Source organism: Homo sapiens, chromosome 1 (assembly GCF_000001405.40).
Source record: "Homo sapiens chromosome 1, GRCh38.p14 Primary Assembly".
Lineage (NCBI taxonomy): Eukaryota > Metazoa > Chordata > Mammalia > Primates > Hominidae > Homo > Homo sapiens.
The window spans coordinates 178,899,273-178,924,528 of record NC_000001.11 but is presented as its reverse complement, the minus strand read 5'-3'; the positions used below and the strand labels follow the sequence as shown (position 1 = coordinate 178,924,528).

Genomic DNA, 25,256 nt, shown 5'->3' with positions numbered 1-25,256 from the left:
TTCTAGGTTATTCAATTTGTTGGCATATATTTGTTCAAAGTACTCTCTTATAATCATTTTTACAGCTAATTCGACCAAATAAAAAATAATGTAACCAATGCATCACAAGTCTATGTGGAGTAAGGACGATACTTTTTATGCTTTTAGCTCTGACAGTACTAGAGTATATGTAAGGGTCTTAGATTGGGCAAAGGTTTGAGGGAGGTGAAAAATCATTCTTCAGAGCCTGAGACTGAAAGAAACTAGGCTAGCATTACAGGAATTTAGTCAAAGATAGATGTTTTTATTAAATTTGGAGATGGGAATTTGATAGGTCGGGCATGCATTTTTTACTGTATAGTTTTCTTTAATTGAACTTTTTATAATGTGGATATAACACTATCATAAGAACAAAAAGTAAATAGCTTCTGGTTTTATTAAAGCTCAGATTAAATAAATAATCCAGCCTGACATATTGATAACCTATTTTGTCCTACTGCTATTGGGGTTATCTTTTCAGACTTGGAATAACCATACAGAGGTAGACAAACATTTCTGTAGGTCTGCACTCATTTAGAATGTCCCCACAAATCTACTTTAGGTTGAAACATGTAGCTTTTAGCTCAACAAATACTTGAAGAATAACACATTATGGTCCAGGCCATGAATATATTCCCATGCTATTAATTTATCTCCTCTGGCCAGTAGGTTAAACTTCTGTAAGAAAGGTTAACTTCCAGGGAAAAGTTAAAGTCCCTTGCCAAACATAAACCGAATTCTTTCCTACAACCAAGCTCAATATATTCAACTTATGAGATACAATAAGTCACTCACATAGAGCAGGATTTCACAACCTTGGCATTATTGACATTCTGGAACAGATAATTCTTTGTTGGGGGGCTGGCCTGTACACCATAGGATGTTTAGCAGCATCCCTTACCTCTCTACCTACTAGATGCCAGAAGAACCCTCTCCCAGTTGTGACAACCAAAAATGTCTGTAGACACTGACAATATCTCCTGGGGACAAAATCGCTTCCAGTTGAGAATCAGTGACATAGAATAAGAAAATTAATTACACGTGGATACTCTAAATTTTGCAGTATCCCTGTGACCCACCATTTTACTTAGTTTTGACTGATAAGTGGTGGCTGAGAGCAAATGCCACTTATTTTCTGCCTAACAGTATAAACATACTTTACAAGAAAAAGGAGAAATTTAAGTTGATGATTAGTTGGCCTACAAATACAATAAAGATTATACTTGGGCTACACTATAACATGCTTAGGGTTCATTCTAGGGCTGTGTTATATTCTGAGGTTTTCTGAGGAGACTGGATAATTAAGTTCTTTGGCATTGTACCACTGCTTCTAATCCAATATTGTACTGGAGTCCTAGCCAAATAAGGATAAGACAAGAAAAAAAAGGTACAAAGATTGGAAAGGAAGAAACAACTATTCTTATTTGCCACTAATATAATTCCAACAGATCTTTGGACAAACCATTATAACTAGGTAAGGGAGTTCAACAAGGTTGCTAGATATAAGAATCAACATAAAGACCAATGGCATTCCTACACACAATAGTCAATGAGGAAATGTAACAAAAAAGTCACATTCATAGTAGAAAGAAAAACTAACTTACTTAGACATAAACTAATAAAAAATGTAAGAGACTACTCAGGAGAAAACTGTAAAACATTACTGAAGGACATTAAAAGCCCTAAATGAACAGAGAGACATGTGTACAGATGAAAGGAGTAAATTTTTCAAAACTGTGAATTCTCAGATTAACCTATAAATCCAAAGTAATTCCAATAAAAATAACAACAGTGTTTTCATGGAACATAACAAACTGATCCTAGAATTTACAGCAAAGACAAAGTCAAGAAGAGCTAAGCTAATTCTGAAGAACATACAATTAGCTCACCAGATACCAACTTATACAGCTATATAGTAATGAAGACAATATGGTATTGGTTGGGACAAACAACCGTTGAAACAGGAAAGGGGATCTAGAAAATTCTGCATATATGGGAAACTGATGTATGACAAAGGTGGTACTATATGAGGTAATGACAGGTTGGCCCCAACAAATAAGTGTCATTCTTCTCTTTTGGTTCAAGTAAAGGGACAGTGAGAAGTTTCAAAGGGCACTATGGAGGTGAGAAAACTGCTGAAAACTGAATTATAATTTGCCAAAATATTGGGCTTTTCCTGGCTGGGGGTTCCTAAACCATGCAGAGGCTAAGCTAACGTGGAATTCTCAAGCATAACCAACACCCAGACAATAGCCTACAGGAGACTCCACACAGGTATTTCTGTACTTCTTCCAATTTAAAGCTCCATGGTCTCGAATATGGATTGTTTTCAGAAATGGTAAAAAGAAAAAAATGTTATGTATTAGCAAAGAGAGCCTCTTTGGGGACTACTCCTATCGTATCACATACTCAGAGTGGGAGATGTAGTTGGAAATGTTATGCCCTTACTCTCTATTCCCCACAACCCCATTTGTCCACATGCGAGGTGGCACATTCTTGTCTTGGGCTAGAGAAGAGTGACTAAAGTTTTTTCAGAGCTTTCCCTGCACCAACAATAGCCTTGTTGACTACCTTAGAAAGGGGAAAAAAATCAACTTAAAGTTTATTTGCACCTTAAAAGTTCATGATAAAAATGCAAATACAGTAACAAAAACATCCTCACCCAATCTATAATTTTAAGTAATTTATTTCAATAGAAATATTTCAGAAAACTGTACTTAAATTCATCTTAAGTTAGCTTATGCAGACACACTGAAGATCGCACACTCACATTTGCATATTAAAAAGAAACAAAAAGTGAGAGAGGAACCAAGCTGCACATCACTCAAGGAGGTCATAGTGCAATCGAGTGCTTCATCATTAGAGTACCTCAAGTTAATTGGGATAAAGAATAAAAATGGCTTGTGTTTTCAGATATATTATCATCACTGGGTACCTGTCCTTACAGATGTTTGATCTCCTTCAGATTATGTTGTGAACCAGTTCCCCACCCCCTCCCCACACACATGTTCTTTAGTAGGATGTAAAACAATGAATTTGTCAATAATCAAGGTACAGAAACTCTTGAGAGTCTGACTTATTATCAGCTATTTTACCATACCTATTAAGTCAGTAATTATTGGACTATATATGTGAGTAGTTCTAGTAGGTCATATCTTCAGGGGAAACAATATTTGTTATCTGGTATCTAAAGCACAGCTATTATTTATGAAGTTTCTGCTTTTCTATTAAGAAAAAAAAGAGCCCAATCCCAAAACACTGTAATTATGTATTCTTTTAATCCCATAATCACTTCTGTAGTACAAATGGCCAGGGTCAAAATTTAAATTTTGCTAACACTCCTCAAGGACCAGTTAACTCTTTCATTTGGCTTGAATGACTACTTGCCTACTCTGGAACATACTAGCCCTTTAAAAAAATGTGAAAAGAACATCTTGATTCAGGTTAACATCCAGTAGCTCTAGGTCTTCCAATAATCTGAGAGAAGCAAAATATTTCCAACTTTGCTTTCACTGAAAAAACTAGCTTAGTCTCTTAACTTTCCTTTAACTTATATATTAGAGATATTTTTACTTTCTTGTATATTTTCAAGAAAATAATAACTGGCAGGTTAAGTGACTACTTGTTTGTTTTGAGTGTTACTTAAATGTAAAAATAAATGGAAATAAATCTCATTTCTGGCCAAAGGGATTTTCATTACAAGATTTCAGTACATTTAACAAAACTCAAATATTTCTGGTTGTATCTTATTCTTTTAGGGCTTTTCCAAAAGGCCTTACAATTAAATGTATGCTCAAAACATCAACAACAAAATAAAAATGAACTTGGCTGAAGAGTGCTCTTCAAATTTGTTTTTAAGAGTGCTTATCTAAAGGTTGACTGGGGTGGGTTTATTTTTAATCTCCTACTCTAAAAGGATAGAAGCAGGGTAGGAGCTTGTTTAAAAAGACTCAAAAACCAAGGAAGACTGCAACAATCACCTACAGAGGTTTCTGTAAAGACTTTGTTAGACTTGGGGTGAGAAAGATTAAGCTGGTGGAGAGAGGGATAGCACACACTCCTGAAATAAGAGGAGCAAGAGGGCACATGATTATTGTCATACTTGATGCCCTAAAATTGCTCTTCAAATAATAAGGCACTGACCAAATTTTCTCCCCACTATAACCTGAAACATAGGTGTAATCAAATTGCTTTCAATAAGCAAAAGAGTTTTTATGCCTGGATCTCTTTCATTAGAACCCTCCAAATAGGGAAAAAAATGTCACTTTAGACACAAGCCATTTTTAGGGGAGCAAAATCAAAGGTACTTAAATCATTTTGAGAAGGTTCACATGGAAAGTAATTCATCATCAATGTGATTAAATAGCAATATTTGTATCTCAAAGCTTAGAAAAAACAGAATACCACTTTGGCTGTAAAATCATATATTTACTATGTTTGAAAGAAATAATACAAAAAAGAGAGGAAAATAAAAGCAAACCCTAAAAGGTCACTAAAGAAGTCATACCAACCTCATCACTTGCTTTGTATCATCTATTCATGCAACAGCAGTACTATTACTCCACCTGGACACAGTTAAACTCATCTTCCTTTTCAAAAAGGGATCCAATTATTTCAAAAACCTTTGAAGCAGAGGATTTGCTTTATTAAAGATTATCTTCTGTTAGGCAACACTGGCACCCCTTGTTTGCAGAAGATGATTACGTGGTGGTTTAAACACTGGTTGTAAAGGAATGTGCCTCAAAAAAACAGGAAGGAAATCAATACCAGATCTATTCATTTAAAAAGCTAATGGATGGAACCCATTACTATTGATTTTCAATTAGTATGATGCCCTATAGTTTTGTTTTCAGTAGTAAAGGTATACAGTTTACGATTTAACCTTAAAAAGAAATAAAAGACTTATGCTCAAGTCATTTGGCCAAAAGATCAACAGGCTGCTCTTTGAGGGCCCCAGTTTAAGCTAATAAGGAAAGCTAGAGTCTGTAAACATGTTTTCCATTCTTTTTTCCTCCTGTACCAATAGTGCTTCCTAGGCTCCTCATAAATCTTCTAGAAGAGGAATAAAGCCACTTATACAAACTTTGCAGTTATAAACACCCTGACTTTTGATATACAGAAAGAACCAATACCAACACAGTCCACACAGAAGGTAGTGCAATAGTTACATGGCATTTTCCACACAGAAAAAAATATTTGAAATTGAAGCACATGCCTAGGGAGAAAAAAATACTGAAACTCAAATTGTTTGGATCCCTTTTTGTAATGTTTGCCCAAATAATATTTACATAGTGAAGAAAACAAAATAGGAAGGTGTGTTTGATCAGTTCTTGTTCAATTCTTACTGTCTGGAGGTAAAAATCATATTCTGAAAAACAAGCAGAGCCTGAACAGAGCGGGCACGAGGCCAAAAACAGTGCTCTGGAAGGTCATTCTGTAGTTATTTTCAACAGGCTATATAACATGCCAATCATTATGCTTATCATAAACAGGCTTAAATTGAAATTATAACTGAATTTCTAATGAGTTCTTCTTGGCTAAGGGTGAAACAAATGACCTGAATGCTGATGAACATTTTGAGTTTTTGAGTCACTTATTTACAATTGAGGGCAGGCTTAATAAGAAGATTCATCTTCCCACGAATGAACTACCTATATATTTAATATATTTTGGTAACATATTTTCTTTGAATTATTATCAGGTATTATTTGGTAAATTATAGATAAAAAATTCACCTACACTATTTTAAGTCACTTTTCTGTTTTCAATTTGCTTCAAATGCTAAAATAATCTTAAAAAGCAATGACTAATTTTCTGAATGAATAAATTTTAAAGACAGAAAAACAACGACTTCTGTGCTGTTAAGAAATTTAGTCAGTCAGAGGCCACAAGTCTATCTATAAACTATTAACCAAATTTGAACGCTATCTTACTCTACGCAAACATCCATTAATGTTTAGAGCCGAAAGTATCAAAAACATCTTCCAGCTTAGCTCTCTCCCTTTGGCAAAACTATGTGATGTCAGGCTCTGACTTCCAACTGCATATTTCCACAGATATGGTTAACCTACAACATTTCTACGTTAGCTTATTATGACAAACAAATGAAATAAAAAAAATCCACAGGGTTCTCATTCACAATACTTTTTAAAAAAGCACATACACTGTTAAAAACGCTATTTCTGAAGAGAAATAAACAAATTAAGAAATTTTTAAAAATGCAAAACAAAAGTAAGATGTGCAAGGTCTACGTAGTAATACTGCTGGCTATGTCTTTCTATTACCCAACATGGGTTAAGCTTAGAGCATTAATTGAAAAATCATTCAGGACAGGAAACTTTTGTCCTCTCCAGCCTGTGTCACTAAACCCCAGAAATAATGGTATTTCTGTTACATAAGAAGCATATTTGAACTCTTAACATCTTTTCCAAACAGAATACTAAATTAAAAAACTTAACACTCAAAAAAAGCTCTTCTCTTTTCCTTTGGATGGATTTTAAGCTAATTATTGTATAAGCAATATTTTCTATTGAAGTTTCATGGACTCAAGGGCAAAATACTTATAATAAAAAAGTATAAAATTCTCTAAGAATACGAATGTGAGAAATTTTATGTGAGGCCCAAAGTAACAGAAGTCTATTAGTAGATATCAGTCACAAAGCATTACCTTACTCTAGGCCACTGCTAAAATTCATTATGTCTCAAGAGTTTATAACATTCGACATATAGCCTTTGTTTGAGTGTCATTTTTCATTAAAATTCTAAGGCATCTTACCTTCAAACTTTTTTTTTAATAATTCAACATTTACTTTAGAAATTAAATGCATCATTGCATAGAAGAGTTCTCATAAAACTGCTTGGTCAACTACTGACAAAATACGGTTTCATGTCAGAGACCGACAGTAAATTTTCAGAAAAATGTTTTGGTATGTTTATGGTAAATCATACAAGTATAAAGTTTAGATACTTAAAATTTCCAGAATCTGATATTTTCACCTTTATCCCTCTTAAAATTATTTTGTATGTCTTATAACAAAATATATACATACATCTCTATGTGTTACCTTTTAAACAAATATGATCCTGAATCTCATATTGAACAAAAAGAGAGAAAATGAATAATAAAAAAATAACTCTGGCATTATGCACATCAAACACTGTAAAAGAAAATATCCTGACAAAATATCAGTCTGTCTTGATGATAAAAACCACCTATGACTGGGAGAAGGGAAAACCCAATTAACTTGGAAAAAGATCTAATTATTGTAAAATCTCAGAAAAGTTTAGGTTGGGATTATAGCTCTTTACTTAAGCAGATCTGTGGTCCAACAATGAATTCATATAGAAAGCTAAACTTTAACCCTAGTTAGAAACAACCATGTTTTCTGGAACCTATTTAAAAAAAAAGCGTCTGGCAAATGAACACACAGCCTTTGTACCTCCTGCAGGAAATAATGTTCCCCTTACAGTACTACATTTCAGAAGTTTAGTGTTTAAAAAAATTCTCCCCTCATCCAAAACAAAACAAACACCCCCACCCAATCCCAAACAAACCCAAGAACTCACATGACTAACATTTCTCATTCCTACACTCTTGCTGTGAGAAAGCCAGTGAGGTTGCAGACTACTAGAGGGAGAACAAACCTTGCAGGTGGGCTGCTGGTACAATCCCTGCTAAGTCTCTTCACCTCGGTTCAAAACCAGCTCCTGATGGAATCCACAAGAGTATGTTTTTCCTTTTTAAAGCATATCTAAAAAAGGCAATTCCCCCCTCTAAAATTATTACAAAGTTAAAAGAAATGCAAATTAGCTACGATCTATTCCAAGCACAGCACCGCCAGAAGATTCACACACACTATTTGGTGTTTCATGTTGGTTTTCCTTTCATTCTTTTAAGGCAGTGGTTTCCACAGGTCAGTTCTGAGATAAGAAGCATGGTTCATGGCAGTTTGTTTTGCAACTCCAATTTGTTCTCTGGGAATATCTCAAATCATTCCCTGAAATTAGTGCTTTTTTGGTTGAGAACTCCAACGACTGAGACAGAGCCTCTGGGCTCTTCCTGGCACAGGATGGTTTATAGCTGGCGCTCTTTTATCAGGTCCTCATGCTCACGTAGAAGCAACAGTTCACCTCTCTTTTTTTCTCAGGCTTCTACTCAAAAGTCATCAAGTTTGTAGGAACCTAAAAAATATAAGCATTAAAAACTGAGTTTAAAAGTTGTTTTTCAAAGGAGTATTTCTTATCTTTCCTTGTTATTTAGGCAAGCCCAATCTTTCTACTTAAGTATCTTTTAAAAGGAACTTGATATAAGGAGCTTCAATAGTTTATGAATAATTAACATGCTAGAACATTTTTGAGAGAAAATCACCAAAATGAGTTAATACTCTTTCTAGTAAAATGACATCTATACAGGAGAAGGGGTAGAGACAATATCTTTCTTGTCTAACACAGGGGGCTCAGTAGACGTTTACTGAATGAATAAATGAGAGCAAGAGTAAGTATGACTCTGGTAGGGTGAGATTCCAGATACACTTGTTTGCCATTATTTATTTTCTCATTATATATTACAAAAATTCCTAGGTGCATATTTTTAAAATCAGCAAAAATAATTTTATAACAAACATTACTAAGAATTTATTTGTAAAATCATGATTAAAATAAGTACAGAAAAACAAAATTCCTTATTAGAGTTTCACTATGTTAAAACAAATCCTCAAAACCAGTTTTCCAAAATACTGGGAGAGGTATTCATATGTCAGTGGTCTTTTCTGTCCTTAAGACAGCTCTCACAGTTTAGCAACCTCTCTCTGAAACCTATTATATGCAAAAACATAAATACCTTACAAGTGTCAGCTTCTGAATAAAAAAATTATGTTGGCCAATGTACTCATAACTGAATTACAAATCAAATACAACACAAATGCTCAAGTGCTTAAAGTATAAATTTTCAGGTCTGATTATAAGAAACTCATATTTGGCCGGGTGCGGTGGCTCACGCCTATAATCCCAGCACTTTGGGAGGCTGAGGCAGGCAGATCACCTGAGGTCAGGAGTTTAAGACCAGCCTGGCCAACATTGTGAAACTCCATCTCTACTGAAAATACAAAAATTAGCTGGGCCTGTGGTGGGTGCCTGTAATCCCAGCTACTCAGGAGGCTGAGGCAGGAGAATGGCTTGAACCCGGGAGGCAGAGGTTGCAGTGAGCCAAGATCGCACCATTGCACTGTCCAGGCTGGGCAACAAGAGTGAAACCCTGTCTCAAAGAAAAAAAAAGAAACTTGTATTTAAGTAAAGTAAAAGTTTCATTTCTTTTTAAGTTGCCTGAATGTGGTTTAAGATATTTTGCATTTGAGTCAGAGTTTTCTACTAAAACTTTCACAGGTTCTACTTACAAATTTGCCACTATTCTAATTCTTGCAAGTATAGAAACAAATATTTATACACGTCTGGTTGACTTGTTGCACAGAAATACTCACTAATACAGTAAAAGAAATTGAACCTTTAAGCTGGTATATGTATATATTGTCTAGATTCATCTTGGAATCTGAGATTGAAAAAAAAAGAGTCTTAATACCCTAAATTACATTTAAAGAAAATGTATAGCAATGAGGTGAATCCTGAAAGGCTTAGTCTAGACAAAGCCTGATCTGTTTCTTTCATTCTGCCCCAGACACTAACCTGACAAGGCAAAAAATAATTTTCGCTCTATGACATTTCATGTCCTTTATGGAGGTTGCTAAAAATGGTACTAAATACTGCTATTAGTGTTGCATATATATTTGAAACAATAAAAACTATGAGAGAACAAAGCCCACTCCAACAATATTTTAAAAAAATGCCCTCGGGATTGGGACAAGATGGCCAACTAGGCAAAGCCAGGAAGAGCTTCTCCCACCAAGAGAGATCTGAGTATCTAGTAGACCAGCATACTCCAAGCCTATCTTCTGAGAGGATGCACTGAGAGAAAATCACCGATTTTCTGAGAGTGGGTGGAGAGATGATGCAGAACCAGGGTTGAAGAGCGAAGAAGCTAGGAACCCTGCACAGGGCTGTGGAGTGCTGGGACTCATTCCTGGTCCTGAACAGCTCCTAAGGAAGGGGTGAGTAAAGTAACTGTGGAATGGCCCACTCTCACCACAAACCGCTGGGATCCTAGTGGCAGGAGATCCCATAGTCCTCCTGGATATTTGAGTTGCCAGGGGGAACTGCCTGGAGAGCTGGCAGAGACAGAACTTAGGTCTACATGGAGCCCAGGGGGTATGGTGTGGGGAAAGCTGCAAAGGAACACGGCCATAGGCGCCCACCCACCAAGGCTCTTCATACTCCTCTAGGTGGCTCTGACCTTTGCTAACTGCCATATTTGGAGAGAGCAGGGCTGTGTTTCCCATGGGACTGGGGTGAGTCTGAGCTGCATGTCCCACTGTCTACTGGCCCCTTCCAAGGTCCCTGTTTGGCCACTCCCATGGGAGCAGGCACACAGTGTAGCTTCCACTATTCTGTTGGAATGCTTTTGCGGGCGACTGTCACCATAGTGCTTTTACCAGTGGCCCCCACCATCCTGCCAGAACACTTTCAACAGTGGCCCCTGAGGAAGTGCTTTTGCCAGTAGCCTGATGGAGAGGTTTTGCCAGCAGCCTGGGAGCACCTTGGTCCACCCAGTGCAGCCGGTGGTCGACCTCAAGAGGCCAGAGGAAAAAGCCAGGGGCCCAGTCCCAGCCCCTTGGGAGTTACAGGACACAGCCCAGGAGTGCCAAGCTGAACCTTGGTTCTCTGAAGACATCCAGAAAGGAAGCCAATTGACTATACCCAACTTATACCACAGTCAAACCCTGAAGGGAAATCAAAAACATAAAAACAAAAAGCACCATCCAAAAGTCAGCAACTTCAAAGGATAAAGGAATATCAGCCCTCACAGATGAGAAAGAACCAATGCAAGAACTCTAGCAACTCTAAAAACCACAGTGTCTTCTTACCTCCAGACAACTACAATAGGTTCCCAGCAATGGTTCTTAACCAGACTGAAATGACAGACTTTGGATTTAGAATCTGAATAGCAAGGAAGCTCAGTGAGATACAGGAAAAAGTGAAACCCAGTTTAAGGAAAACAGTAAAACAATCCAAGAGTTGAAAGATAACACAGCCATTTTAAGAAAGAACCAAACTGAACCTCTGGAATTTAAAAATTCACTCTAGAAATTTCTTTCTTTTTCTTTTCTTTTTTTTTTTTTGAGATGGGAGTCTTGCTCTGTTGCCCAGGCTGGAGTGCGGTGGCATGATCTTGGCTCATTGCAACCTCTGCCTCCCAGGTTCAAGCGATTCTCCTGCCTCAGCCTCCCTAGTGGCTGGGACTACAGGTATGCACCAACATGCCCAGCTAATTTTTCTATTTTTAGCAGAGACGGGGTTTCACCATGTTGGCCGGGCTGGTCCCGAACTCCTGACCTCAAGTGATCTGCCTGCCTTGGCCTCCCAAAGTGCTGGGATTACAGGTGAGAGCCACCACTCCCAGCCTAGGAATTTCATAATGCAATTGGAAGCATTAACAACAGAATAGACCAAACCAAGGAAAGAATCTCAGAACTCGAAGAGCACTCCTTCAAATTAACAGAGACAAACATTAAAGAAAAAAATTTTAAAAATGAGCAAAACCTTTGATAAATATGGGATTATGTAAAGAGACTAAACCTATGACTCACTGGTGTTACTGCAAGAAAAGGAGACAGAGTAAGCAACTTGGAAAACATATTTGAGGATACGATCCACAAAAATTATCCCAATCTTGCTACAGAAGTTGATGTGCAAACTCAAGAAATTCAGACTCCCCACAAGATACTATACAAGATGAGCATCCCCAAGACACTTAATCATCACATTCTCCAAGGTCAATGCAAAAGAAAAAAATCTTAAATGGAGCTTGAGAAAAGGGGCAGTAAAGGGAACCTCATCAGGTTAACAGTGGACCTTTCAGTAGAAGCCTAACAAGCCAGAAGAGGCTGGGGGCCTATTTTTAGCATCCTTAAAGAAAAGAAATTCCAACTAAGAATTTCATGTCCCACCAAACTAAGCTTCATAAGTGAAGGAAACAGAAAATCCTTTTCAGACAAGCAAAGACTAAGGAATTCACTATCATCAGACTTGCCTTACAAGAGGTCCTTTAAGGAGTGCTACATGTGGAAATGAAAGAAAAATAACTGCCACCACAAAAACACACTTAAGTATATAGTCCACTGACACTATAAAGCAACTATACAATGAAGTCTACATAACAAGCAGCTAACAACATGATGACAGGATTAAATCCTCACACATCAATAGTAACCTTGAATGTAAACAGGCAAAAAAGGCAAAGTGATAAGCTGGCCAAAGAAGCAAGACCCAACTGTCTGCTATCTTCAAGAGAACCATCTCACATGTAACAACATACTAGGTGCAAAGTAAAGGTAAGGAGCAAGATTTATCAAGCAAATGGAAAACAAAAAAGAACAAAGGTTGCTAGTCTTATATTAGATACAACAGACTATAACAATGGTCAAAAAGGACAAAGAAGGGCATTACATAATGATAAAGGGTTCAATTCATCCAGAAGACTTAACTATCCTAAAGATACATGCACCCAACATTGGAGCATCTAGATTAGGAAAACAAGTTCTTAGAGACCTACAAAGAGACTTAGATAACTACATAATGGAAGACTTCAACACCCCACTGATAGTGTCAGGCAGATCACTGAGGCAGAAAACTAACAAAAATGTTCTGGACTTAAACTCAACATTTGACAAACTAGACCCAACAGACATCTACAGAATACTTCATTCAACAACACAAGAATATACATTCTTTTCATTGGCACAAGGCACATTCTCTAAGATCAACCACATGCTTGGGCATAAAGCAAGTGCCAACATATTCAAAAAAATTGAAATCATACCAACCATAGCCTCAGACTACAGTACAATAAAACTAGAAATCAATACCAAGAAGTTTTCTCAAAACCACACAATTATATGGAACTTAAACAACTTTCTTCCAAATGACTTTTGGGTAAAGAATGAAATTATGACACAAATCAAAAAATGATTTAAAACTAAGGAAAACAGAGACACAACATATCAGACTCAATACCTATGTCAAGAAGTTAGAAAGAGCTCAAATTAACAACCTAACATCATACCTTGAGGAACTAGAAAAACAAAACAAAAGGAAACCAACCCCAAAGCTAGCAGAAAAAAAGAAATAACCAAAATCAGAGCAGAAGTGAATGAAATTGAGATGTGAAAATGCATACAAAAAAGCAATGAACCAAAAGTTGGTTCTTTGAAAGAAAAAACAAGATCGATAGACTGGTAGCTAGATTAACAAATAAAACAAGAGAAAAGATCCAAATAATCACAATCAGAAATTACAAAGGTGACATACAACTGACTCCAAAGAAATACAAAAAATCCTCAGAGACTAACACTTATATGCACACAAACTAGAAAACCTAAAAGAAATGGATAAATTCCTGGAAACACAACCTCTGAAGATTGAATGAGGAAGAAACTGAATCCCTAAAAAGACCAATAATGAGTTCCAAAACTGAATCAGTAATAAACAACCTACCAACCCAAAAAAGCCTTGAAATAGGTGGATTTCACAGTTGAATTCTACCATATGTACGAAAAAGAGCTAGTACCAATCCTACTGAAAATATTCCGAAAAATCGAGAAAGAAAAGACTCCTCCCTAACTCATTCCATGAAGCCAACATCATTCTGATTCCAAAAACTAGCAGAGATACAATGAAAAAACAGAACTACAGGTCAATATACCTGATGAACAGACACAAAAATTCTCAACAAAATATTAGCTAACTGAATCCAGCAGCATATCAGAAAGTTAATTCACCACAATCAAGTAGACTTTATTCCTGAGATGCAAGGTTGGTTCACCAGATGCAAATCAATAAATGTGATTCACCACATAAACAAAATTAAAAACAGAAAACCATATGATCATCTCAAAAGATGCAAAAAAGGCTTTTGATAAAATTCAACATCCTTTCATGTTAAAAGCCCTCAACAAATTAGGCACTGAAAGAACATATCTCAAAATAGTAAGAGTCATCTATGGCAAACCCACAGCAACATCATTCTAAATGGGCAAAAGTTGGAAGTATTCCCTTACAGAACTGGAACAGGACAAGGATGCCCACTCTAACCACTCCTATTCAACATAATACTTACTGGAGGTCCCAGCCAGAGCAATCAGACACGAGAAAGAAATAAAAGGCATTCAAATAGAAAGAGGAAGTCAAACCATCTCTCTTCAGACTATATGATGTTATGTCTAGAAAACCCCATAGTCTCTGACCCAAAGCTCCTAGATCTGATAAACAACTTCAGCAAAGTCTCAGGATACAAAATCAATGTACAAAAATCAACAGCATTTCTATACACCAATAACACTCAAACTGAGAGCCAAATCAAGAACACAATTCCATTTACAATAGCCACAAAAAGAAAAAAATATCTAGGGATACAGCTAATCAAGGAGGTAAAAGATCTCTACTATGAGAATTACAAGCCGGGCACAGTGGCTCACGCCTGTAATCCCAGCACTTTGGGAGGCGGAGGTGGGTGGATCACGAGGTCAGGAGATCGAGACCATCCTGGCTAACACAGTGAAACCCTTTGTCTACTAAAAATACAAAAAATTAGCTGGGCGTGGTGGCATACGCCTGTACTCCCAGCTACTCGGGAGACTGAGGCAGGAGAATCGCTTGAACCCGGGAGGTGGAGGTTGCAATGAGCCGAGACCGCGCCACTGCACTCCAGCCTGAAGACAGAGCAAGACTCCGTCTCCAAAAAAAAAAAAAAAAAAAAAAAATTAAAAAAGAAAAAGAGAATTACAAAAATTGCTCAAAGTAATCAGAGATGACACAAACAAATGGAAAAGCATTCCATGCTCATGGATTGGAAGAATCAATACTGTTAAATGTCCATATTGTCCAAACCAACCTACAGATTCAATGCTATTCTTATCAAACTACCAATGACATTCTTCAAAGAATTAGAAAAAACCATTAGAAAATTCATATGGGAACAACAACAACAACAACAACAACAAAAGCCCAAATAGCTAAAGCAATTCTAAGTAAAAAGAACAAAGCTGAAGGCATCACACTACCTGACTTCAAACTATACTACAAGACTACAGTAACCAAAAAATAGCATGGTACTGGTACAAAAACAGATACCAATGGAACAGGATAGAACCAATGGAACAGTATAGAGAGCCCAGAAATAATGCCTCACACCTACTACCATCTGATCTTTGACAAAGCTGACAAAAACAAGCAATGGGGAAAAGGCTCCCTATTCAATATGCTGCTAGGATAACTGGATAGCCATATACAGAAGATTAAAACTGGACCCCTTCCTTACACTGTATACAAAAATCAACTCAAGATGGATTAAAGACTTAAATGCAAAACCTAAAACTATAAAAACCCTGAAAGATAACCTAGGATATACCATTCTGGACACAGGCCCTGGCAAAGACTTCATGATGAAGACTCCAAAAGCAGTTGCAACAAAAACAAAAACTGACAAACAGGACCTAATTAGAGAGCTTCTGCAGAGCAAAAGAAACTATCAGCAGAATAAACCAACATTCCTAGAGAATGGGAGAAAATATTTTCAAACTGTGTATCTGAAAAAGGTCTAATATCTAGAATCTATAAGAAACTTAAATTTACAGGCAAAAAACAACCCCATTAAAAAGTGGGCAAAGGACATGAACAGACACTTCTCAAGAGAAGAAATACACATGGCCAACAAGCATTTGAAAAACGGCCAATATCACTAATTGCCAGAGAAATGCAAATCAAAATTGCAATGAGATACCATCTCACACCAGTCAGAATGGCTAAGTCAAAAAATAACAGATGTTGGCAAGGTTGCAGAGAAAAGGGAATGCTTATACACTTGGTAGGAATGTAAGTTCAGCCACTGTGGAAAGCAGCTTGGAGATTTCTCAAAGATCTTGAAACAGAACTACCACTGAACCCAGCAATCCCATTACTGAGCATATACCCAAAGGAAAATAAATTGTTCTACCAAAAAGACACATGTATGTTCATCCCAGCAGTATACACTATAGCAAAGACATGGAATCAACCTACGTGCCTGTCAACAGTGGATTGGATAAAGAAAATGTGGTACATATATGCTATGGAATACTACACAGTGATTTTTAAAAAACAGTGAAATTATGCCCTTGGCAGCAACATGAATGCAGCTGGAGACCATTAAGTGAATTAATCCAGGAACAGAAAACCAAATACTGCATGTTCTCACTTGTAAGTGGGAGGTAAACATTGAATACACCTAGACACAAAGATGGGAACAATCGACACTGAGCATTACCAGAGTGGGGAGGGTGGGAGAGGGGTGACGGTTGAAAAACCAGTGGGTACTCTGCTCACTAACTGGGTGACAGGATCATTTATACACCAAACCTCAGTGACACACAATATACCCATGTAACAAACCTGCACAAGTACCCTCTGAACCCAAAAGTCAAAAAACAAACAAAAAGAATGGACTTAAAGGATGAAGAAAGTTTGAATCCACCATTTTTTACTTGTGTGACCTGTGTAGGTCATTTTGTATTATGGAGCCTTAGTTTCAATTATCAAGAAAGGGTAATAACTTACATCCTGATATGACAGGGTGAAAAATACTTCTGTAAGCTTTCTAAGCTTATATAGTGCATCATATTCAATATTACCTACTGATAATGCTAACCATAGACTTCTGCATTATCAATATGCTAAGTCAATGATTTTCAAATATATTTAACAAACAACTGGTTCTACAAAAAGTCTATATAAATTTCTATAAATGTGGCTATGTGTTTTATGTCTGCTCTACCAATCTGTGGTTCAACTCTAACTGTGCAACAGGGTTTGGGGAAAACAACACAATGGATTCCTGCTCTTCTGCAGCTGAAAGCCTTTCAATTAGACCATTTTTGTTTCAGTAAAATAAAAGCAAACAAAATTTAAATGGTTTTTGGTTTCACTACCACCACAGAAACCCACATCAAATTGTCAATAGATCAAATAAAGATGAATTCGAATAATTTTTATTAATTTAATATGCCATCTAATTTTTACCCTTTAGAGAACTATACTCTGACTACTATACTAGCTACCTTTCTGTGCTTTGAACTCACCTTAAGCTTGTTCCAGCTTCAGGCTCCCTGCACTTGCTCTTCCCTTACACAGCACTCTGCTCTCCTCTTCTTATAGCTCGTTCCTTCTTGTGGTTCTTGTCAATACCATCTCCTCAGGGAGATCTTTGCTGCCCAACCTTATGTTATCAAAAGTTGTCTGTACTCCCATTGCTCTATATCACATACGTCTATTGTTTTCTTTATATAGTTCTGACTGTTCGAAATTTTGTTACTTGTTTGCATGATTACTGTCTAGCTCCTCACTAAGATGTAGACCTTCATATCTTATTAACTGTAATCAACAAGAATAAAAACACCACCATTCTCCTAGTTAATTCAGAACTAGTCTGTTTACTTCTCTTGGAACTCTTTTACATATGTTCCCAAATTATGGACTATTCTGAGAATTAGGAGAAATGCTTACCTGTTGTTTGTTACTTTGGCAGGCTGCACTCAAATGCTTAAACCATAACATTGCATTCATTCTATTGCCAGCTTGAAACTTGTACGAATTTCCTAAAATTATCCAAAATAAGGGGGAAATATTAAAAATGTAAGGACGACACATAATAATTCTGCCAGATAATAATGAGCAAATTAAACATGACTAGAGTTTTCAGTTTTAGAATTCTATTCAACACCTCCATTTTATTGTATTTCCTATTTTTATTGTATTTCCAATACAATAAAGAGTTCTCGATGCAACACATTTACATGCTATCATATATTCAGAAAGTCACTTTTGCTGCTTATGAATTAGAAGAAATAATTTTGTCTCCTTAAATATTCTTTAGAATGAAATACACCTACATAAAATAACTGTGTGGCATCTCTAGATCTGTGTGGATAAGACTGCAGAATATTGGTTCTGAATACTTACTACTTAGATGATCTAAATATTAGATTTTTTTTTTTTTGAGATGGAGTCTCGCTCTGTCGCCCAGGCTGGAGTGCAGTGGCACAATCTCAGCTCATTGCAACCTCTGCCTCCCAGCTTTATGAGATTCTCGTGTCTCGGCCTCCCAATAAGCTGGGATTACAGGTGTGCACCACCATGCCCAGCTAAGTTTTTTGTATTTTTAGTAGAGACGGGGTTTCACCATGTTGGCTAGGCTGGTCTCGAACTCCTGACCTCAAGTGATGTGCCTGCCTTGGCTTCCCAAAGTGCTGGGATTGCAGGCATGAGCCCCCACACCTGGCCTAAATATTAGTAGATGTTAATGTTAAGTTTTAACATGCCAGAATGCTTCAATATGTTTAATACTTAAACACTAGCTATTCAGTATAATTAAGGATTAGTCATATAACATTGATAGACTATGCTTTTAGTCTTTAGTTACAAGATATTTGTCAATATTATTACAGATTTCCAGTTCTGTTGAGGGCTCTTGGGGAAAGTCTAGGAGGCAACTTTCTCTCTTTTAAGAAATTAGATATTCATTTGTGCTGTGTGTATTTTGTAATTTCTATATTGACTTTAATTCAAGACTGACATATAATGAGGATATTTTAAATGGTTATATGTATTAAGGTGAGAAAACAAATTGAGAAAAGAAAGGATCCATGTACTATAGGCTGCTCTAAATTAAGCTTTATTTCCTTTTTTCATTGACCTAAGTTCTTTTTATTTCACAATTTGTGCTGAATTCTATTCTTTCCTTAATAACTGCATTCAATGGCTCAAGAGCCTAACTATATTTAAGCATTATTCAGCTTTTCCTTGAGATTCTAACACTCAAAATAACTTTTTCACTTTCTGAAGTAATTGTTTCTTCACCAAATGTTTAGTCAAGTAACACCGTTACACTTGCTGAACTCAGACACAGACATTAGGTCAATGTGAAAAAAAGCCATATCTACAATAAAGCTGGCCACAGCTACAATTTACATACTCACCCCTCCCCCGCAAAAAACCATTAGTATAGATAGACTTCATAAAATTTTGGCTACCTGAAGTAGTTCTATTAGGCATGCTAAGAGAAACTGAAGAAAACAAAGAATCTGTTAACTAAATCCAATGAAAATGCTCTCATCTTGAAATGTAATTTCGTGAATTATGCCTTTGATATGGGAAGGAGGCTGGGGCTTTGAATTCAAAATTTTGAGTAGGCTTCTATACACCAACAATGACCAAACAGAGAATCAAATCAAGAATTCAACGCCTTTTATAATAGCTGCAAAACAAAACAAAACAAAAAACCACTTAGGAATATACCTAACAAAGGAGTCGAAAGAGCTCTACAAGGAAACTACAAAACACTGCTGAAAAAAATCACTGATGACACAAATAAATGGAAACACATCCCATGCTCATGGATGGGTAGAATCAATATTGGGAAAATGACTATACTGCCAAAAGCAAAATCTACAAATTCAATGCAATCGCCATCAAAATACCAGTATCATTCTTCACAAAATCAGAAAAAACAATTCTAAAATTCACATACAATCAAAAAAGAGCCCACCACAGCCGAAGCAAGACTAAGTGAAAAGAACAAATCTGGAGGCATCACACTACCTGATTTCAAACTATACCGTAAGGCCACAGTCACCAAAACAGCATGGTACTGCTATGAAAATAGGCACATAGACCAATGGAATAGAATAGAGAACTCTGAAGTAAACCCAAATACAGCCAACTGATCTTTAACAAAGCAAACAAAAACATAAAGTGGGGAAAGGACACCCTTTTTAACTAACGGTGCTGGGATAATTGGCTAGCCGCATGTAGGAGAATGAAACTGGATCCTCATCTCTCACCTTATACAAAAATCAACTCAAGATGAATTAAGGACTTAAATCTAAGACCTGAAACTATAAAAATTCTAGAAGACAACATTGGAAAACTCTTCTAGACATTGGCTTAGGCAAGGATTTCATGACCAAAAACCCAAAAGCAAATGCAATAAAAACAAAGATAAATAGTTGGGACCTAATTAAACTAAAGAGCGTTTGCACAGCAAAAGCAACAGTCAGCAGAGTAAACAGACAACCCATAGAGTGGGAGAAAATCTTCACAATCTATACATCTGACAAAGGACTAACATCTAGAATCTACAATGAACTCAAAACGAATCAGTAAGAAAAAAACCAATCCCATCGAAAAGTGGGCTAAGGATATGAATAGACAATTCTCAAAAGAAGATACACAAATGGCCAACAAACAAATGAAAAAATGCTCCATATCACTAATGATCAGGGAAATGCAAATCAAAACTACAATGAGATACTAGCTTACTCCTGCAAGAATGGCCATAATAAAAAAAATAAAAAAACAGTAGATGTTGGCATGGATGTGGTAAACATGCAACACTTCTACACTGCTGGTGGGAATGTAAACTAGTACAGCCACTATGGAATACAGTGTGGAGATTCCCTGAGGAACTAAAAGTAGAACTACCATTTGATCCAGCAATCCCACTACTGGGTATCTACCCAGAGGAAAAGAAGTCATTATATGAAAAAGATACTTGCATGCGCATGTTCACAGCAGCACAATTCACAATTGCAAAATCATGGAACCAACCCAAATGCCCATCAATCAACGAGTGGATAAAGAAACTGTGGTATATATATGTGATAGAATACTACACAGCCATAAAAAGGAATGAATTAACAGCATTTGCAGTGACCTGGATAAGATTAGAAACTATTATTCTAAGTGAAGTAACTGAGGAATGGAAAACCAAACATCATATGTTCTCACTGATACGTGGGAGCTAAGCTATGAGGATGCAAAAGCATAAGAATGATACAATGGACTTTGGGGACTTGGGGAGAAAAGTGAGAAGGGGGATGAGGGTAAAAAGACTACAAACAGAGTGCAGTGTATGCTGCTCGGGTGATGGGTGCACCAAAATCTCACAAATCACCACTAAACAACTTACTCATGTAACCAGATACCACCTGTACCCCAATAACTTATGGGAAAAAAAATGTTGAGTAGGGTGTATTTATTCTGTAAATCAATCTACTTAATCTAAAAAGAAGACATTTTGGTATTATTTTTTCCTGCCTCCAACATATTTGCTTACTTGTTTACTTAAAACACTGAAACATAAAAGTGGGATATCTGTTGATACAAAATAGTATCTGAATAAACAGAGGTCAAAATATAGTTGTGAAGTCAATAAAAGGTAACATAGTATTCCAGTTGTGAACTGCTGAAAGTATCTTTCTGGTACTTGTCAACAGCTAGCAGTTGTTATGATGGAAGAAAAGCAACCACTTGGGGATATTTTCTGATGAGCCTTGAGGTATCCACTATAGTCACAGGTAGAGTAAGAAGAACATATGATGTGATTATACATGGCCCATCCTCCAATTTCTCATATCTACTTTATAAACTCCAATGGTCAATAGCCAGTTATTTTATTCATAAGTGTCTCTCTATATACTGTATGTAAAATATTATAATTAACTTGGAAAGTGATCTGAGCCAAATATATTCAGAAAGTCACTGTTTTGCTGCTTATGGATTAAAAGAAATAATTTTGTTCTTAAATATTCTTTAGAATAAAATACATCTAAATAAATACAATAATTGTGTGGCATCTCTAGATCTGTGTGGATAAGACTGCAGAATATTGGTTCTGAATAATTTAATTAAAAGTGATAGAATAAATATTTAAAGGAAAACTCTGCCACTTTCAGAACTTAAGAATAACAATCCATTTCAAGGTATTGATGAAGGAAGCAGTATGGCCTATATGGCAAGTCTCTAAAAATTTGAAGTAACAATGGGGTATATATTCTCAAATTCCCTCCCTCCTTTCCTAGTTAGGTCTCTAGGGATTAGCTGGGCTTTTAATTTTCAAGCATATATGCCCATGGAGCAAAGAAAATAAGCTCCACAAATATTATTAAAATACATAATGGGACAGAAGTATTTCCCAATAGATAAAACTACACAAATACTTTCTCTCTTGAGTATTCCAGTGAAACTAGGTTTTGGCTCATCAAGTTCTTCATGTATGCATAAAACATTATATATATGACAAGTATACACACACACATACATACATACATATACACAAACACATACGCAGTATCGTAAGCCCCAGTTATTCTAACAATTCACCTTTCTCAGAGTCAGTCAGCAGGAAGAGATCAGGATGTTCAGGGTCATCAGCCATCATCACCATCCATCCTATCACAGATACGTTCTTATTGGATGTTGATTTGAACTGAGAGAAAAAAAGATAATTAGCGGAAACAGAAAATTTATGGTTTATTCTAGCAAAACTTCAGTGTTAGGGAGTGTATTTTCAGTTTCTCCTAATGAAAGATGAGATTTGTGACTTCATGCTGGTCTCAGCCAGCCTGGGGCCTTTTACTGCTGAATTTCATCCTAGGCATGCCTTCTTCAGATAATCTCCTACTTTCCAGACCTTCCCAGCTTCAACTCTGCATCAAAACCTAACTGATCTATTCCCTATTCCCAGAGAGCATGTTTGTGAATATGATATATTAATCTGTTGTTTTTTTTCTGAATTACTGTACTACTCCTTATAGGAAGGACATTTGCATTTTAGTAGCTATGCTGTCTTAAATCTGATGATGTAATAAATCAGCAGTGCTATCAGAGAGTTCTTTTTTTTTTTTTTGAGACAGTCTCACTCTGTTGCCCAGGCTGTGGTGCAGTGGTGTGATCTCAGCTCCCTGCAACCAGATAATTCTTAATGACAATATTCTTACTTGTATTTTTCAAAAAAGAAGGGTATTCTTAGCCTGTCTATTACTTTTGTAGTTAACCATTCTTTTATTATTATTTTAGCTACAACTTCTTTTCTTAATTCTGAGAAAGGGCAGTTATAAAAGAAGAACAGGTTGGCTTAAGCTAGTGCTTAAGACTGTATGTGAAGCCATTCAGGTATTGTTTAAAAATCAAACAGTGCATTGTATAAGGACGTGTACATGGTAAAACACTAAAGAAAAACAAGGCGACAATTAACAAGAAATTCAGGACAGCAAGAAGCTGTGGATATGGTTGACAGGGAAGAAGTGGATGCCTCTGGGAAGGCTTTGACGGTTCTAGTAACATTCTGTTCCTCACACTGGGTGGAGAGTATACAGGTGTTCATTTTATTTATTATGCTTTAAAATGTACATGTACACTACCTATCTTCTTTTGTATGTATGATATGCTTCACGATTAAAGGAAATGGGAAAAAGAATGAACATGGCACATTCATAACAACATGAAATTGAAATATGAAAGCTAAAGAAATCAGTAAGTTTTACTACTGTGAAGAATGAAATTGGCCCTACCACAGGACTGCTGATTTGACAGCTCATAATGTACTTCGACATGAATACTATGATCTTCTAATATTCTTTTCTTAAGCCTAAAAACTTCCACCTCAATTCCCTTTTTCAAAAAGTAAAAAGTAACTCAAGCAACATAAACTGCTTCAGAAACAGGGATGAAACTAGAGTGCAAATGCCCTTTAACCACCAGCGAATCCCATCACATTCCCCAGATATAATCATCACTTGAGGTGACAACCTCCAGACCTTATTCTATGCATTTATTATATCAGAGGTTTGTGTCATTGCTGCTGTTGGTTTTTACGTATTAATGGGGGATATATTTACACTCTGACTTGTGTTTTTCATCTATCAGTAACCATTTCCTTATTGATAAGTATTTTGGGTATTTCCAGATTTCTGTTGTCATAAATATTATAGAAATATTCTTCTACAGATAATCTTTGTGCACTTGTTCAAAAATTTCAGTAGGACAGATTCTCAGATGAGGAATTTCTGGTTATTACCAAGCTAAATACTGACTCGGACTGGCCACCACAAAAACAATACCAATTTAAATTTTTACCAGCCATGGATGACAGTCTGTTTCCCCATATCATGACCAATGCTATGTCATCAATCTTTTAAATTTTTGTCTAATGGCAGGAAAGTGTCTCCCTTAATTTGCATTTTTAAATAGTAAGTGAGGTTGATCACTCTACCCACACAAACTGTTCTTCATAGGCAAAAAAATATATACTTTATAGAATACTAAAATAAGGTATACAGACTTCCATATGTCCCACTTCTGGGTTTATTGCCATGAACAGGTATATTTTAATCTATGATTTTTTTTCTCCTCCAGCTTTTTATTTTGAAAAAATTCAAACTGTACAGAAGTTGAGAATGCCACAATGATTAGCCATATATCCTTAATCTACATTTTTGTGTTTGTTTGATCTTTCTGAACATTCAAATGCAAATTGCAGACATCATAACATTGAACCCTAAATATTTCAACATGTATCTTTTAATAACAAGAATATATTCCTATACAATCACAACGTAATTGTCATTTCTAAGAAATTGAAGAGACAACCACATAAAGTCCATGTTACATTTTCTTAAGTTGTTCCAATAATAACCTTTATAGCTTTTTAAATTTTTTCCCCAATATAACTCCAGGATTCAACTAAAAGACATACATTGCATTTAGTTGTCAAGTCTCCTTTAATCTAGAACAGTCCTCCTGTCCCCCTGCCCTTACTCCACCTGCCAAATTTTGGTCTTTTTAAGAATCTAGGCCAGCTGTCTCATAGAATGACCCACAATTTGGATTTGATTATTTCCTCATAAGATTCAGGTTAAATATTTTGGCAAAAAAAAAAACCAAAACCAAAACCAAAACCAAAACCAAAACCAAAACACAACAATACAGGTGGTGCTATGTTTAAATGGTGATTTTAATCCTTTTTCGGTTGCTTACATATAGCAGATATTTTCCTCCAATTTATTTGTATTCTAACTTTATTTGAAAACGATTAAAATTTTTTTCTTCCATTTAGTTCTGTGCCATATCTTTTCTATCTCAAGATTAATACCAAATATAGATATAGACCTGTCTCTATACCCTCTATCCTGTTCTTCAAATTTATTCTTTAATTATATTTTAATTTAATTAGAAAAGATGAGAAATGCGGTCAATTTCCTTGGTACTCAATAAGATTTTCTCACAACTCACTATGCTTTAATTTCCAAACATTTTGCATA

General features: G+C 36.1%; 1 protein-coding gene across 9 annotated transcripts in view; it reads right to left on the bottom strand.

Annotated features, from left to right (window-relative positions):
* Positions 1 to 2,688: 2,688 nt before the first annotated feature.
* Positions 2,689 to 25,256, bottom strand: part of RALGPS2 (Ral GEF with PH domain and SH3 binding motif 2) — a 196,597-nt gene continuing 174,029 nt past the window's right edge. For 7 of the 9 annotated variants that reach the window (NR_174383.1, NR_174384.1, XM_047423755.1 and 4 more), the window contains 3 exons: positions 22,318 to 22,423; positions 17,662 to 17,753; positions 2,689 to 8,199 (listed from right to left, as the gene is read on the bottom strand). Coding sequence is in view for 7 of the 9 variants with exons in the window: in XM_047423755.1 (XP_047279711.1) it covers positions 8,170 to 8,199; positions 17,662 to 17,753; positions 22,318 to 22,423 (228 nt within the window). In the remaining 2 variants the exon portion in view is untranslated. The remainder of the gene's footprint in view (positions 8,200 to 17,661; positions 17,754 to 22,317; positions 22,424 to 25,256) is intronic. The other 2 variants (NM_001400042.1, XM_047423766.1) reach the window with 1 other exon arrangement.